General features: G+C 44.8%; 1 pseudogene, besides 3 other annotated features; it reads left to right on the top strand.

The window, feature by feature from the left end:
* Positions 5,631-6,420: an enhancer, noted in NCBI's record as "NANOG-H3K27ac-H3K4me1 hESC enhancer chr7:131581865-131582654 (GRCh37/hg19 assembly coordinates)". NCBI's record gives its function as "activates a minimal SCP1, AML or CMV promoter by ChIP-STARR-seq in naive H9 embryonic stem cells {active_cell/tissue: H9 hESC(naive)}" and the evidence as "EXISTENCE:reporter gene assay evidence [ECO:0000049][PMID:30033119]".
* Positions 6,421-7,210: an enhancer, noted in NCBI's record as "OCT4-NANOG-H3K27ac-H3K4me1 hESC enhancer chr7:131581075-131581864 (GRCh37/hg19 assembly coordinates)". NCBI's record gives its function as "activates a minimal SCP1, AML or CMV promoter by ChIP-STARR-seq in naive H9 embryonic stem cells {active_cell/tissue: H9 hESC(naive)}" and the evidence as "EXISTENCE:reporter gene assay evidence [ECO:0000049][PMID:30033119]".
* Positions 7,211-8,000: an enhancer, noted in NCBI's record as "OCT4-NANOG-H3K27ac hESC enhancer chr7:131580285-131581074 (GRCh37/hg19 assembly coordinates)". NCBI's record gives its function as "activates a minimal SCP1, AML or CMV promoter by ChIP-STARR-seq in naive H9 embryonic stem cells {active_cell/tissue: H9 hESC(naive)}" and the evidence as "EXISTENCE:reporter gene assay evidence [ECO:0000049][PMID:30033119]".
* On the top strand, positions 10,016-11,114 carry CAPZA1P4 (CAPZA1 pseudogene 4; annotated as a pseudogene).
* The last annotated feature ends 5,070 nt before the right edge of the window (positions 11,115-16,184 follow it).

Here is a 16,184-nt window from a genome sequence, read left to right as displayed (position 1 = left end):
AACTGGAGCTCTCAAACTTGCTGGTGAGAGTATAAATTGGTAGGACCACTTTGGAAAACTGGCATTATCTATCAAAGTTGAACATACACATCGTAGTCCCCCCTTACCCAAGGGTTTGGCTTTCCACAGTTTCACTTTCCACAATTTTAGTTACCCATGGTCAGCCAAGGTCTGAAAACAGGTGAGTATGGCACAATACAATAAGATATTTTGAGAAAGAAAGACTACATTTAGATAATTTTTATTACAGTATAGTGTTATAATTGTTCTTTTTTTTCATTAATTGTAGTTAATCTCTTACTATGACTAATTTATAAATTAAACTATACCATGGGTATGTAGGTATAGGAAAAAATATAGTATATATAGGGCTGGCTTTATCCATGGTTTCAGGCATCCACTGGGGGTCTTGGAACATACCCTCCACAGATAAGGAGGGACTACTACTGTATACTCTGTGATCCAGCAATTTTACTACTAGATATATAGCCAAAGGAAATGTATACATACATAAACAAAGACATATGTAAGAATGTTTATAGAAGCACTATTTATCATAGTTCAGTGCCAGTTATAAATTCAGCTCCAAGGACATACATACTATATGTATATATACACATACACATTCTTCAGCATACCTACATCAGGACTGGAATTCACCTCTCCTCAGCAAAGTGTATGGCAAAAGTATTTCTAAGTACAGTGGGCTATAGAGAGGCATTCCTATCCCCCATAGAAAAAAAATGATTGTGTTTCTAGAACTTCTACTTGGGGATCCAGTGCTAAATATTCACTCATCACCAGAATTTTCTTTAAATGAAAAAATTTGTATTTTGGATTTTAGGTATTCAGCATTGGATTAATCATAATCCTAGTTATGACTCAATGCCAACATTGTTTCGCATATGGCCCACTTTTTTACTCATTCGTTCATTTATTCATGCATTCATTCATTTTTTTTCACCATCTGTTTTAGTCCATTTGTGTTGCTATAAAGGAATGTTTGAGACTGGATAGTTTACAAAGAAAAGAGGTTTATCTGTCTTGCAGTTCTGCAGGCTGTACAAGAAGCATGGAGCCAGCATCTGCTTCTGGTGAGGGCCTCAGGCTACTTCCACTCATAGTGGAAGGGGAAGGGAAAGGGAAGCTGGCTTGTGCAGGGATTACATGGCTAGAGAGGAAGCAAAAGAGAGAGAGAGGGCAGGTGCCAGGCTCTTTTTAACAACCAGCTGTCATGGGAACTAATAGAGCAAGAGCTCGCTCACCCCATCCCCAGGAGGAGATTAATCTACTCATGAGGGATCCACCCCTATAACAAAAACACCTCCCATTAGGCCCCACCTCCAACACTGGGATCAAATTTCAACATGAGGTTTGTTGGGATGAACATCCAAGCTATAGCACCATCCAACTCAAAATCTAGAACAATATGAACAGCATGTCTGCATGTTCCTGTGCTATCCTGGCCCTCTGCCTTGGCTCTCACCACCTCTGCCAAGGGTAATCATTACACTAAACCTTTTGCTTTTCTTTCCTTTGCTTTATTTTTCAGTTGTATCACCTAGATATGTATGCCTACGTCACCTATTTCTTAGTTTTAATTTTGAAGTTTGATGTCTGTAGCCTTCTAGAACTTGCATTTTCCTACTCACTATATTCTAAGATTCACCCATATTGCTACACGTAGTTTACTAATTTCCATTTCCTGTGCTGTAAAATATTCCATTTGGTGAAGATGTCATTATTTATTTATTTATTCTTCTCTCCATGGACTTTTGGGTTGTGCTATGGACAGTCTTGTTCAAGTCCTAACCCCTCTCCCTTCTCACGCTGATTGTTATGGCTACATTAGGTTTGGGGGCATGAATTTTTGGAAAGGTGGTAAAAATATCATCATCATCATGTGATGGTGATAGCTGATATTTGTCTGTGGTGTTACCTGTTACAAGGAACTTATATCACCATTATCCAGTTGGACAGACTCCAAGAATGGGCAGGCCTATCACAGGGTTAGGAAACAACCAAATCCATGTCCTTTAGATCTTGTTTCGTGAGTTATTCTGACCCACTCTGGAGCCTTGGGCTTGATTGGCATTTCTCTCACTGTAAAGCCTAGTTTCATTGCAATACATCATTTAAAATGGGTGGGACATCTGAGAAAACTGAGACATAGAAAAAGGCTATCAGAGGGCAGCCAGACCTAGTATCACCCAAAGTTTTTTTTCCTAGGCTCCAGCCAAAAACCAGAGCCTCCATGACATGTGGGAGGCCAGGGGCTGCCCAGGAGATAGAATTTTCCCCACTACCATACACCACTGGTCCTCTCAGGATGAGAGCCAGTCATCTTTGACTCTTCCAGGCTGTCTGCCTCTCCCAGTTCCCATGTTACCCCTGGTGAAGCCAGGCTCACTTGGTGACACAATGCCAACATTCTCCACTCCCCATCCCTATCACTGAATAATGAATACCAGCTAAGTGTTGAGCAAGTGCCAGCAAACTTCTAGCAAATATTCCCCCTGGGGCTTGGATCAATAACACTTAGCTGCTCCTTTTCAGCCGGGAAAGGGGACAGCAGGAAACCCAGCCTGAACCTTTCCCTCAGGGACATGCTGTCTGACAACCCAAGCCCACCCTCATGGGCTCTTGATTTCCCAGTGCAGAAGTGAAGACTTGTGTCCACAGGAGACTAATTACCCTCCTTCCTCAGCCCCTGTTCCCCAAACATTCCCTTGGAATGTGATTATTAAGCTCCATCTCCAAGAAAGGGCTCTTTCCCTGGGAGCTCTGGCTTGGGTAGCCTATGAGAGCTAAGGGGACACTGTGTTCTGGATTCAGGAGTGGTCACCAGCCATCTCATAACCTCGAGCTGCATAGTTTGGGATTAGAGAGGAAGAGAAGAAAAGGGAAGGTGTTTCACACATGTACATCAATTCAGTGGCCTTGGCCATGCTCCGTATCTAGTCTAGGCACTGTCAACTCCAGCCTGGTTCTGAGAATCACGTCTTTTTTGTTCTTAGAAGTCTTGCAGAGTTGAGAGAATAATGAACCAGTACTCACAAAGTACCTCTTTTGTGCCAGACTCTGTTCCAAGCCCTTGGCTCTAACTCATTGTATCCCATAGTAACCTATGAGGTACATGCTATCATCTCCACTTTAGAGACAAGGACCTTGAGACATGATGAGGTGGAGTGACTTGTCCAGAGTTACAAGGGTAGGAAGCATGGAGCCAGGGGCTGGTCCCAGGCTACCTAGATCTAGAATACATTTTCTGGACCACTCCACCAAGCCACTTCCATGACACTTCACCCCTGGGCTAGGACAGGAGCTCTGGACGCAGATGTTCCTGGCTCTGAATCCAGCTGTTACTTACAAATGATGTGATAGGTAAGTTTCTCAACCTTTCTACTTTTCTGAGTCTCCCTTTCCTTATGTAAAAAACTGAGATAATACTTAGCTCAAAGTGTTGTTGTAAAAATAAAAATTCAATAAACTACAGAGCTGATGTTCAATAGGTATTTATTTCTTCATTGAGGGGCTGAGGCCCCTTACTCTTCACTGTAGAGGCAAGCTTCCTGGCCTGGGCAGGAAAGCATTGGCCCACATTTGAGGTTCTGGCATTATCTCCCTGGCCTGGTATCAGGTTGCTCTTCCAAGGTTCCTCTTCCTGACACTTCCCCAATATCCCAGCTCCCTTCAAGAGTGAAGGGTTAAACCACTTCCTTCCCCTGGCCCTGCTGGCCTCTACCACTCCTGCCAATCTCCCAGGCCACAGCTGACGCCTGCCAAGGTAGACTTTTAAAGCCATTCCCCAAATACTAGCAGGGGCTATGTACTCCTCAAGGAAGGCTTGACCACATCATCTGGAAACACTGCTTTGCTGATGGCACAGCTTAGATCTGTGGCCATATAAGCTTGTCAAAATGGCATTCCCCCCTCCGCCTGAGTTAAATGTCTCACTCCATCACAGCGGACCTGGAACACTGGTTATATATGGCTGCATAACAAACCACCCCAAGCCTAATGACATCATAAACAGTAATCATGTATCATCTCATGGTTTAGGTGAGTCAGGAATTCAGACGGGCACAGGGAGGATGTCTTACCTCTGCTCCATGATGTCTGGGGCCTCAACTGGAGCACATGAGGGCTGAGGGACTGAAGTCATCTGAAGGCTTGACCAGGGCTGGAGGATATGCTCTTAAGTTGGTTCACTCATATGCCTCATGAGTTAGTGCTGGCAATTTTGTTCCTCTCCATGTGGGCCTCTACACAGGGCTACTGGAGTGGTGTATGAGTTTGCTAGAACTGCCATAACAAAGCACCGCAGACCAGGTGGCTTAAACAATGGAAATATATTTTCTCACAGTACTGGAAGCTAGAAGTCTAAGATCAAGGTATCAGCAGAGTGTTCCTTGGCTTGCAGAGCACCACCTTTTCCCTGTGTCTGCTCACAGTCTTCCTTCTGTGCATGTCTGTATCCTAATCTTCTCTTCTTATACGAATACCAGTCATATTGGACTAGGGCAAATGCTAAAGACCTCATTTTATCTTAATCACCTCTCTAAAGGTCCTATCTCCAAATACAGTCACATTCTGAAAAACTGGGAATTAGGATTTCAACATATCAATTGGGGAGATACCATTTACCCCATAACAAGTATTCTCATGAAATGGTGGCTGGCTTCCCCCAGAATGAATGTTCCAAGAACATTGGGTGGCTGCTGTCATGTCTTCTATGAGTAGGTTCAGAAGCCACACAACACCAATTCTGTGCTATCCTATTGGCTTCACAGATCAACCCTCTTCAGTGTGGCAGGATGCCACAAGACAACGTTTGTTCTGGGAAGTGAGGATCTGGGAGGGCAGCCTAGAAATGAGCTACTACCACACGTGGGCACACAAATGCCTCCCACATTTACCACACACAGGAAGAGCAACCCGCCCTGAAAGAGAAAGCCCAGAAGGCACAAAGCCTCTTCTTGTGCTCAGCAGCAAGGCAGGTGGCTCCAGAGGCATATGGAGAAAGAAGGTGGCCACATACTTCTCAATCTACCATCTCTGGGGAAAAGAAGTTTTACTCCCTCCATGGAAACCTGGGGCTAGCATCCCAGATGTAAAGAGAGGTTCCAGTCTACTCCTGGGTTTGCTCCGCCTACCCTCTTGTACAACTGCACGGTGCCCCTACAGTGGACACCGCCGAGGGAACACAGATGGAAAAGATGAGTAAGATACCTGCCGTGCACAAGTAGCTTACAGTGCACATGGCACAGAACAAGTGCACAAAATAGTAACTCACAAGTTAGACTGTGATTGTTAATTCCTAGAGCATGTGAGACTATATTCGTAGCAGAGGAGGGGAAGGTTTCACTCCTTTGTTCTGAGTAGATGTGACTTAAAAGCAGAACCCTGGTATTCCTTCTCCCTTATCTGATTAATCTGCAGAAACAGAGAATCACAGTCAAGCCAGCATCTGCTACTGGTGATCATAGGGTCAAAGGTCTGTGTCTGGGACCCCAGATGATTTGCAGTTCATTTACTGAGTCCCCGCTGGGAGTGTGTCCATGAAGACATGGATCAGCTGGAGACTATGTGCCTGGTGACTGCCGGCCTTCTCAAAGCAGATGTGGCCTTCTGATAGGCCTAGTGCTGGGGTCCTAAAATACAGCTCTGGGTCCTGCCTTGGAGTCCTGAGCAGGGCTGCCTCTCCTCCCCTTATCATGTACTCCCCAGGTTACACACCAGAATAGCCAGTTCTCCTCATCCAGATTCCCCATCACCTTCCTCCTAAGCAAAAACTCACCTGGCCCAAGTTTTGGGGACAAAAGGGGAGAAGAGCTCATCCTGCAATGTTGTCTTCTCTTCCTCAGAATCTTTGGGACTGACTGAAAGTTCCTGCGTCCCCGCCCTACTAGACAGTGGGGGGATTCCTCCAGTCCCAGCTGGCCCCACCTCCCAGTCACCTCATCCATCATCCTGACAAGTGGGTCCTGGAGAGAAGCTATAAGCAGGACAGGGGTAATTAGGATCCATTAAGGAGATGAGGCTGAGCTGCAGGGGGGACCATTCATTCCACAGCGCCCTCTTCTAAATGGGGCTGTCAGCCATGCAGAGCTTGCTCCCACGAGTTCCTGGGGAGGCTGTGGCAACTGGGTAAACAAGCATCTTGAAGACATGGGGGCCTGGAGATGAGGCAGGGGCCATCAGCCAGCATTCCTGCAGAGAAGGCAGGGGGCAGAGAAGGGGATAACAGGACCCACCCCCGACCCCCACCAGCAGGGTCTCATGTAGGGCTTGTTTGTGAGCCAAGTCCTCAGCTTATGACTCAGCTTATGACTGTAGTCCAGGCTGCTTTCCATGGCCTCCCCACACAGCCCAGCCCAGGGCAAGACAACATCTTAAAAAAAAAAAAAAAAAAAAAAAGCTTTGCACCTAAGATAGGAACACTCCTCCCCTTGCTCTCTTGCTTTTGGGAACGCCCTGCCCTGCCCATGGAGTAGCCATTCCTTTGTTTCTTTACTTCTCCAATAAACTCGCTTTCACTTTATTCTGTGGACTCACCCCAAAATCTTTCTTGCATGAGATCCAAGAATCATCTCTTGGGGACTTTCCAGTAACATTTTGTGTATAATTTAGTGTACTTAATGTAGGCACAAATGTGATCTGAAATACATTGGTTGGGTCTTTAGTAGGATTTTTTTTTTGAAAGGGCTGGGGATACCCAGTTCCATTATGTCTGACCAGGTCATTTCTGAAAGGAACTAGAAAATTTCGTGGTTCACAACCCCACAGACAGCAGCCTAGGACCCTTGGGGAAGGCACCTATCTGCCTCCTCTTTTCCGGGACCCCTGCAGAGCAGAACCTTCTGTCTGGCCGGCCTACTGCAGGGTCTGCGCTTGCTTTGCCTTCATTGCTATTGTTTTCAGTCAAGGCAGCAGTTAAGCCCACGTTAAGACCAGATGAGAGAGGCCAATTGCTAATGTGCTGAGGGGAAGAAAAAAAAAAAAAGCAACATAAATAATTGTACTGAAGCTTGATGTTAAATATAAGGAGGACTAATAATTCAAACAGGCAGAAACTCCTGAATCTACCACAAAACTCCCCAAGGCAGAATGGCAGCGAATGGCCACACATTTGCATAATAGCTTTCTTGTTGTTCTCTTTGTTCTTTTTGTTGCTTCAACTAATTGCGTTTAAGCACCCTGTTATTTACCTCATTCCTCTGAAAGGAGCCAGCCCCAGTGATCCATAAAATGGTAACTTTCACCAGCATAATACTGTTGTTATACACTTATAAATTGAGAGATCTGAAAAGAAACAAAGCACTATAGCCAAATAGCCCCAGGAACCTCTCCTTCTTTGATTCAATTGGTTGTGGATGCTTTTCTCCAGGGCTGGATTCACAGGTGGGCCACCTGCACCCCTACGCAGCTGTCCCATGCTAGCTGGTGCCCTGTGGTTAGAAAGGCCCCGCTTGGTTTAATGCTGTCCCTGTCTAGAATTGCTCAATACTTTTTAACAAGGGGCCCCATGTTTTCATTTAGCACTGGCCTTGTAAATTATCTATGCTTCTCACTCTGAGTCAGGTCTGGCTGGGATAGTGCCTAACTCCAATGGCAAAGTAGACATCATGTGGTGAAGTCTCCCAAGAGTCATCACATTTCTGCCTCCTCTAGTATTCATTTATATAAGCCACCCAGCAATTCATGGCAATGACTCATGGAAAAAGGGTGAAGTCTCCCAAGAGCCATCACATTTCTGCCTCCTCTAGTATTCATTTATATAAGCCACCCAGCAATTGATGGCAATGACTCATGGAAAAAGGGAAAATTCATTTCCCCAGGATACAATCTGACACCAAACTTCCTGAGCTCAGCTTGAAATTTAGCTGGAACAAAGAAAAGCACAAAGATCTCTGTCTGGATGGGACTTTTAATTGTTGAAGTCACTTCCTTTGTGGAGAAGCCTGGATGAGTTGAAGAGGTGTTCCCCTGGTCCCAGGGATTCTAATGGTTCCACTAAAAGAAGCATGGGAATGCCCTACACCTGCTGTTATTCCTGCTTCCTTCCCACTTTTTCATCTTTCAAGGTAATCGTTAATCTAATCCCACAACAAACATCACCATATTACTCCAGGTTGTTCTGGGCATCAGGGATCCAAGTGTAAATGAGAGAGACTCAGTCTCTGCCATCATGGATCTCATGGTCACATCTCAAATGAGACCAAAATGCCATCCCCATGTCCACAGGCATGGGAGGACTAACTCTCGCACTCTAGCCTTGGAGCCTATTGCTATTCCACTAGGAATAGCTGCTCCTTCTTCCTACCAACCCATGTCTGGCTCACGTGATCGCCAGAGTCCAGCTTGAAGTAGATTTCTACCAGAGGTCCTTCCCTGATCACTGCCCTAGGCCACTCCACTTAGCTGCCTCTATGCTGCACCCACTGGGGATTCAAGTGTTTCCGGGACACACTGGGTCCTTCAGTTGCTATAATGATTGTAGGTTTCTTAGCTTGATAGGAGGTTCTAACAGACCTGAAATCTGTTTTGCTCCCTACCTTTATGACTGTGCCTGATGTAACAAGTACTGTTTGTTTGTTGCCCACACGAATCTATTGCCCTCTTCCTGGCCAGTAGAAACCAATTTTGTTTCCATATTGACACTTTCCTCTGAGGCCTTCTGCTGAGGACGGGTGACTTTATCTCTAGCCACTTCCCAGGAGGGTGAGGCATGGATATTGATTGGTCTATGGTGGTCCCATTCTCTTTCCTACCATTGCTTTAAGAACAGTCATGAGACCTCATCTTGATCAATGATATGTAAGAGAAATGATGGGATGGTTTCTACAGAAAAGATTTCCAATCGATAGAAAGAAACTCAGGGGAGGAAATGGTTCCTTCGCTTCAGTTGGATTAGTGTCATGTCCGCATGGGACACCTAGAACTATGGCAGCCACCTTGTGACCGCAAGAGACAACACCAACAGGTTGAAGCTGACAGTGAACAATGATGGTGTTCTTGATGAGGTGATTAGATAGACATTAACCAACCTGGTCCCACCCTACCTACTTCCAGGATTCTGGCCATGTAACTTTAATATTTTTATCACTTAATGTACATTTATTTCAGTTTTCTGCTCTTTGTAGCTGAAAGCTTTCTAAATGATAGAGTTTTGCCTGTAATAGGTGTGCTTTGTGGATTTTGTCAATTAAATGTTGGGAACAGGGTGTGCAGGGTCTGCCCTTGGAACAGGCTAACTAGACTGCCTGTAAGCAATGCGAGTGGTCTAACAGAAAAAGAACATAGGCATCCCAATGTTTCTGAGGTCCAGTTCTGATTTTATGCCTGACTATGACTTTGATAGTTGGGAATGTGAGAAATTAAGACATTAAAGAGTAAAGTCTTGACTTTGGTTGCATCACAAACTAAAGAAACTCAATCTAGAACACTGACTTGGTGTAGAAGTAAAATTCCAAGTAGACCTCCACCTACTTCCTCTGGCTGGGGGGCACTTGCTTCTTTCTGTAAGTGATCAAATTTAAATAAAATGTTGTTTCTTGGGTCTAAAAATCTGCTATTAGCCAGGTTACTGTGTTCTGTAATTAAGACCTGATCTTTTCCCCTGGGGAGTGCATGAGTGATGAATTCAGCAACTATGCATACCTTCTCCTCACCCAGCACCCAGTCCTCAAATTCAGCCAGCTTGGGCTGCTCTCTACCCAGTGAAATTTTAGGAATATCTGTGTAATCTAAAATTATACCATCTCAGGCTGATAAAATCTGGAATTCCATTATGAGAGATTCATTCTTTTGGCTATATGTCTATAAAAGTCACTGCAATTCAACCATCCCTATTTAGGAGTAGCCCCTTTTCTTGAGCACAAAATAGGATATAGAAAATGGGGCAGGGGACAATTTCCTGGGATGAGCTTATTGCTGAAGAGTTGAACAGATTTATACAGAAGAACCTTGGTGCACTAAAGACAAACTTTTCTTATGTCTCAATTTTACTGGAAATAATGACAATCTTCAGGGAAGGAGCAGCACATGCATTTGCCCACTGTAACATGAATCCATTCACGCCTGTGAAGATAGAAGGATATGAAGATCAGAAAGAATCAAGTGGCCCCCAGGCAGAGAAAGTAGATGGAGGTCTGAAGTCCAGGAGAGAATTCTGTGACAGTGCTTTAAGAGCCTATGCAGGCCAGACACATTGGCTCATGCCTATAATCCCAGCACTTTGGGAGGCTAAGGCGGGAGGGTCGCTTGAGCCCAGGAGTTCAAGACCAGCCTGGACAACATGGCAAAACCTCGCCCCTACTTTAAAAAATACAAAAATTAGCCAGGTGTGGTGGTGCACGCCTATGGTCCCAGCTACCCACAAGGTTGATGCTGCGGTAAGCCACTGCACTCCACCCTGGGCTACAGGAGTGAGACCCTGCTTCAAAAAAAAAAAAAAAAAACCTATGTGAAAGATCATTATTCCAATGGCCAAGGCTTCTGTATTGTTTATGCTAAAACAGACTGTTATTGCATGTATTGAAAGCCACCAGTTCCAGCCTAAAAACTTCTGGAATGATTGGAGATAACAGCAGAAGTCCACCATCAAACAACCTACAGCCCAGGTAGCTGAAGTGCTTAAAATTCAAGTTCATTATTATGAAGAGGGCAATGCGCCATTGGTCAGTCCTAAAGTTGTACAGGATTCACTAACTGGTTTGAATGAATTCCAAACTGTAAAGGAGTTTATTAAAATCAGAGAATGCAGGAAAGGAGTATCAAACAGCAATTAGTAAAAACTATCAAACAATGTCAGATGCCACATTCAAGGCCTTGCACCGGCAACTACCAGTTACCTGCACCAAAATTGATGGGAACAAGATACTCAGCTACAAGACTGGCAAAGAAATGCAGAAGACTTAAAGGCTGAATGTAGGATTCTTGTGTATGTGGAAAGACAAAGATTTGACGTGTGGTCGTGTGATAAATAAGTGATTTATAAACAAGAGTGATATTTTGCTAGGGCTTTCAAAGTTAATGGATTTTCTAGCCTCGTGGAATACTGTTGAACCTCTAGCATTGTCTTGATTCTTTTCTCTGCCTTGTAATTTTCTGTTATCCCTATATCCATGTGTGGATCTTTTGTTGTTGTTGTTAATTCTGCTACATTTAATGTTGGAAAGAGACATCTAATCTAGAGTCATTTATTGTTTAAAAAATTTTCCTAGCCGTGAAGCCCTGTTACTGATTTAGACAAGGTGTGATGTTCATTACTTTTCTACTGCTATTCTTCCAAGAACTTCTGGGACTTCAGAGGTTTCCACTGCTCCACCAACAGCTAAAGAAGTATTGCTACAAGCTGTAGCTAAATGGAAGACACATTCATCCTTCTCCTTCTGCTTTCATCTTCATTTATAGCATCTCATAACTGTTGTTTCCCAAAGTTTGGATTGGGGCTTTTCAGGTCCTTTTTGGAGGGCAAAGGAAGTTTTCTGGAAAATCTATTATAGCCAGCTTCTCTGGGAAACTTGTTTTTAAATCCAAAGACTTGAACCACCTTCCCTGCAAACAGAAATGTCTGCTTTCTTCCCCTCTGCTTTCTTTCCTTCCCATCTAGTACCATTGTAGTTATAGACGTCTGCACTCTTAGAAGAGTTTTATTCACTTATTATTTTTTTAAAGCTCAAGAACTGCTGACATACTGTGGATGTAGAAGTATAAAACTTGAAAAATCCAGATGTTGAAGGGAAAATGGATATCTTCTGCTTTAATGCTTTGTGGCAGGATTGTACCATAAGCAAAATAATCAAACAACTATGTAAATCATGAACAAAAAATAAAAATTAACCAAAGTGAAAAGGGTAGCTTCCAGGTAGTATCTTCCTATTGTAACCTGTTGTTTAAGGGAATACTAGTGATTTCTTTCAAATAGGATGTAAAACGTTCTAAATTACTCTTCCTCAGTCCTGCCTGCCAAGAACTCAAATGTAACTGTGATACAGCAACCCTTCCCAGGTATTTTGGCAGGTACATGTATGATCTCAGAATACACAAGTAACATAGATATGATATAACAATTGGCAATGGTGAATTCATTTACATTGTTTACACCTCTATGACCAAGCCTTAAGGGAAAGTCAGTTTAAGAAAAAAAAAAAACAAGTAGTGTCTTCCTACCTATCTCCAAATGCATGTCAAAAAAGAAGGGTATTTTTGTTTCAACTTCACTTTTGCTCAGTAATACAGTCAAGCCAGAGTTTGTTTCCAAGTAACCCATCGAGCTGTGTAAGCATTTTTGTTTATTTCAAATACAATATGTTTACATTATTTGTCATTCACACTATCCATCCATACTACACTATCTTCTGTATCAGGTAGTCCAATAGAAACATATGTGTTTTGTTCTAAAGAAAAGAAATTTTCACTGTCAGTAGCTGCCAATTTCTCCTGCTTGAAGGCCTCACTCTTGCCTTACTCTGCCATGAATATTCTGCCTTTCTCAGTTGTCATGAACATTGGCCTGTTCTCTGCCTTACTGACTCTACTGTCCAGTGTACATTTTTTTTGCCCAATTAAAAGGTTCTGAGTTGGTGAAGGTGAAAGAGAGGGCATAAGGAGGCCTGCAAGTATGGGCCTGGCAGTGAATAAGACCCATTTCTTGCCAGGCACCATGGCTCATGCCTATAATCCCAGCACTTTGGGAGGCCAAGGCGGGCAGATCACTTGAGGGCAGGAGTTTGGGACTAGCCTGGCCAACATGGCAAAACCCCGTCTCTACAAAAAAAAAAAAAAAAAAAAAAAAAAAAAAAAATTAGCTGGGTGTGGTGGCGGGTGCCTGTAATCCCAGCTACACAGGAGGCTGAGGTGTGAGAATTAGCTTGAACCAGGGAGGCAGAGGTTGCAGTGAGCCAAGATCATACCACTACACTCCAGCCTGGGTGACAAAGCAAGACTCCGTTAAAAAAAAAAAAAAAAAAAATTCTTCTCTTCTCTCAGAAAGAGGAAGAACACCACCACCAACAAAATCACATTGACTAACGCAATGGAGTGCCCAAAATACTGTGGGCTGCCCAGAAGGAAGGAGAAGTTCACAAATGTAGCAGCCTTCTTCAGCATCCCTCTAGCTGCAGAAAAACAAGGAGGCCTTTGGCTGTGGGTTGTATTTCTTCCGCATTTCCACGTCTCACTCATGGCTTTCTGCCAAGAAAGTCTAGCCACAAAAGACCTGGGAGAGGGGCTCACTGAAGGGGCATGACTGTTGCCAAGGAGACCGAAGGACAGTGAGGGGAGACACAGGCTCCTCTGTCCACCGTTAAACCTTCATAGGAGAAGGAAAGATGGAGAGAAAGTGCAGGCAGTGGACCACTCCACCCTCCATCCAGGGAGGCCACAGACAGGTCCCTTCATGGAGACTTTCCCATACCAAATTGCCACCCAATTCACCTCAGTGGCCTGTCCCCAAAGTGGTATTCATGCTGTATCTAGACTCAATTCAGCTTGTGGAATGTATTTTAAAGGTAGAGAAACCAAAGCCTGGCAGTGATTTGACCGTAGTGAGTCAGTGACTGCTGTGCTTCTCTCAATGGCGGCTTTTCAGAGACCACAGAGCAGGGGGGAAGGGCTTGGCAAGCAGGTGCCCCTATGCTAGGAGACCAGCCTCAATAGTGAGCCAGAGGTCTGGCTAGGCCACCTGTACATTCCCAAACTCTGGCGGCACTTTCTGTGTTGGAGAAAGCTGCTGGAACCCACGCTGCAGGGAGCTACCTCAGGGGGTCACTTTTCCTATTTTAGCTCCATGAGACTGAGTGCCCCTGGCTCCTTGCCCAGTCCCTATATAGCACCCATGAGGTCCCTGGGGGTTGTGGCCTTCCTGCCCTCTTCCTAACCTAAGGTCTCTGGTGGATTTCCAGCCTCTAAGAAGCACAACTTGAGAGTAGAAGGATCCTGGGTCCTATAGCTTTCAAGTAATATCTGGGGGTGTTGTGATAAAACAGTGCTGTCCAGTAGAACTCTCTGTGATGACAGAAATATTCCCTGTCTACGCTGTCCAATACATAGCCACTAGCCACATGTGGCCATGGAACACTTACAATGTGGCTAGTGCCACTGAGAAACTGAATTTTTAACTTTATTGAATTTTAGTTAATTAAAATGTAAACTCGAGAGCTGCATGTGGCCAATGGCTAAGGCACTGGACAGAGCAGGGAAGGATAAGGCCTCCCACAGGTGGTATGCATGGATACCAAGCAATAGCGGATAATGTGATCTCCCTTCCCCACAAGCCCCTCCTTGAGAGGAAAACACTGAGGGAAGATGGCACTTCTTGGGGGAAATCAGAATTTCCTCTCCACTACGCGTCCTTTTCCTGCTAAAAGTTCCACGCATCAGTGAGCTATACAAACCCAGAAATGTGTAGAGAAAGCAATGCCTATGCACCTGTGTCAGCACAACAGACAGGAAGGGGGCCACAGGGCTGGGGGAACACTCTCCGCAGGTCTAGAGAACTGAGAGCCTGGAACCCCACCATTTTCCAGTAAAGTCTTGCAGAGATTTGATGTTGTAGGAGAGATGGAGGTAATAATTAAGCTCCCGTGTATACATACTTTGGGGTGTATATGACCTGAAACTGTGCTCACTCTCTGTTTTGGGGAGCCCTGCTGTGGGGCCGTCTTCCAGGTTGAAGCTTGTGGTAATAAGTTTCTTCTGTTTTTTTCTAAGTGCCTGGGCTGGGGTCCAAGTCTGACTTTCCTTCTGTCGCACCACGTCAAGGTAGAGAGAGGATCCAGCATATTTGTGTCTAGGCAGTTCTGTAATCTTCAGAGCAGAGTGATCAGCTTCTTATTTTCACCGAGCTCAGGTCATCATCTTTATGATTTTAGGAGATTGTTTCAGGAAGAAGCCGGGGTATTTGGCAGACAATAAATGTGAGGCACACATTCCAGGCAAACAGAGCTGCTAGGATGCACCATGATTGCTGAGGGAGCCAGGCAGCATGACTGGACTCATCACTTCTCTACCCTAAACCTGTTCCTTGTTTGTACTCCCCCATCTCTAGAAGATAACCTACTATCCACTCACTATAGAGAGAAACCTGGGAGGGATCACCACAGATACCCTTTTCCCTTATCCCACATCAAATTAGTCACCAAGACCTGTTGATTCTAAGCTAGAAATGTCTCCAAGTTCCCCTCATCCTGGCGTTCACTGTCACCATGGGGGCCCTTGCTGCTTCTCACCTGGGGCCCCATCTGTGTCAGATCCCCATATCTCCCCACTCAGAATGTCCTCCGTCACTGGCCAGAAGCACCAAGCTAAAAATCAAGCTATATGGTGCCTATCACTCCTCTGCTAAATCTGGGTTCCATTTAGCCTAAAGGATAATGTCAGCACTACTCTGTGTGACAGGAAAGGACTCTAAGGAGCTGTCTCCAGGGTCTCTGTCCATTCTTACCTCAAGCAGGTCTGCCTGCATGGATTCACACTGCAGTGGACTCTGCCTGCTCAAGCCTGGTCTTGGCACATGCCATCCCCTCTGTTCAGGGGCTCTTTTCCCAACAAACTCCCATTCAATCTTCAATAAGTAGCTCTAGCACCCTCTCCATCATGAACTGTTTTGGGGATGCAAGTGGAATTGGATGCTCCCTCCTCTCTGCTCCACAAACCTCCAGTGTAGATTGTGCTTTGCTTTTTTGTTCCAAAGTCTGTCTCCCTTGTAGACTGTGAGCTCCAAGCTCCACAATGCCTATGACTATGGCATCTAAGTCATTTCTATCCCCCTGTTGCTCTGCACGTGCCTAGGATATAAAGGGACTAGATGGATGGATGGATGAGTGGATGCGTAGGGAGTTGGAGGGGTGGATGGGTGGATGGATGGATGGACAAACAAATGAACAAAAAATAGGTTCCACAGACTAAAACCAGGCAGGAGACTCTAAAGGTTAACTTGTGTTAGGAGCAGGGTGAGGGAAAGCCAGATGGTCAGGAAGCTGAGCCAGATTCCTGGAGTCCCAGGTGACTAACGGAGAGCCCACAGGGAGATACAAGCCTTCAGCCTGACTCAGGCAAAGAGAAGACATGGCATGAGGAGGAATCCCCCTAAGAGGATGGAAATGAAGGGGATGGGAAGAAAATGGCAGCCAAACAATAAACTGTGATGCTGAAGAGTCAGCTATGGGGTCTGTTAA

This window comes from Homo sapiens, chromosome 7 (genome assembly GCF_000001405.40).
Source record: "Homo sapiens chromosome 7, GRCh38.p14 Primary Assembly".
Classification (NCBI taxonomy): Eukaryota; Metazoa; Chordata; class Mammalia; order Primates; family Hominidae; genus Homo; species Homo sapiens.
The sequence above is the reverse complement of the archived record's forward strand: the minus strand, read 5'-3'. Positions and strand labels throughout refer to the sequence as shown.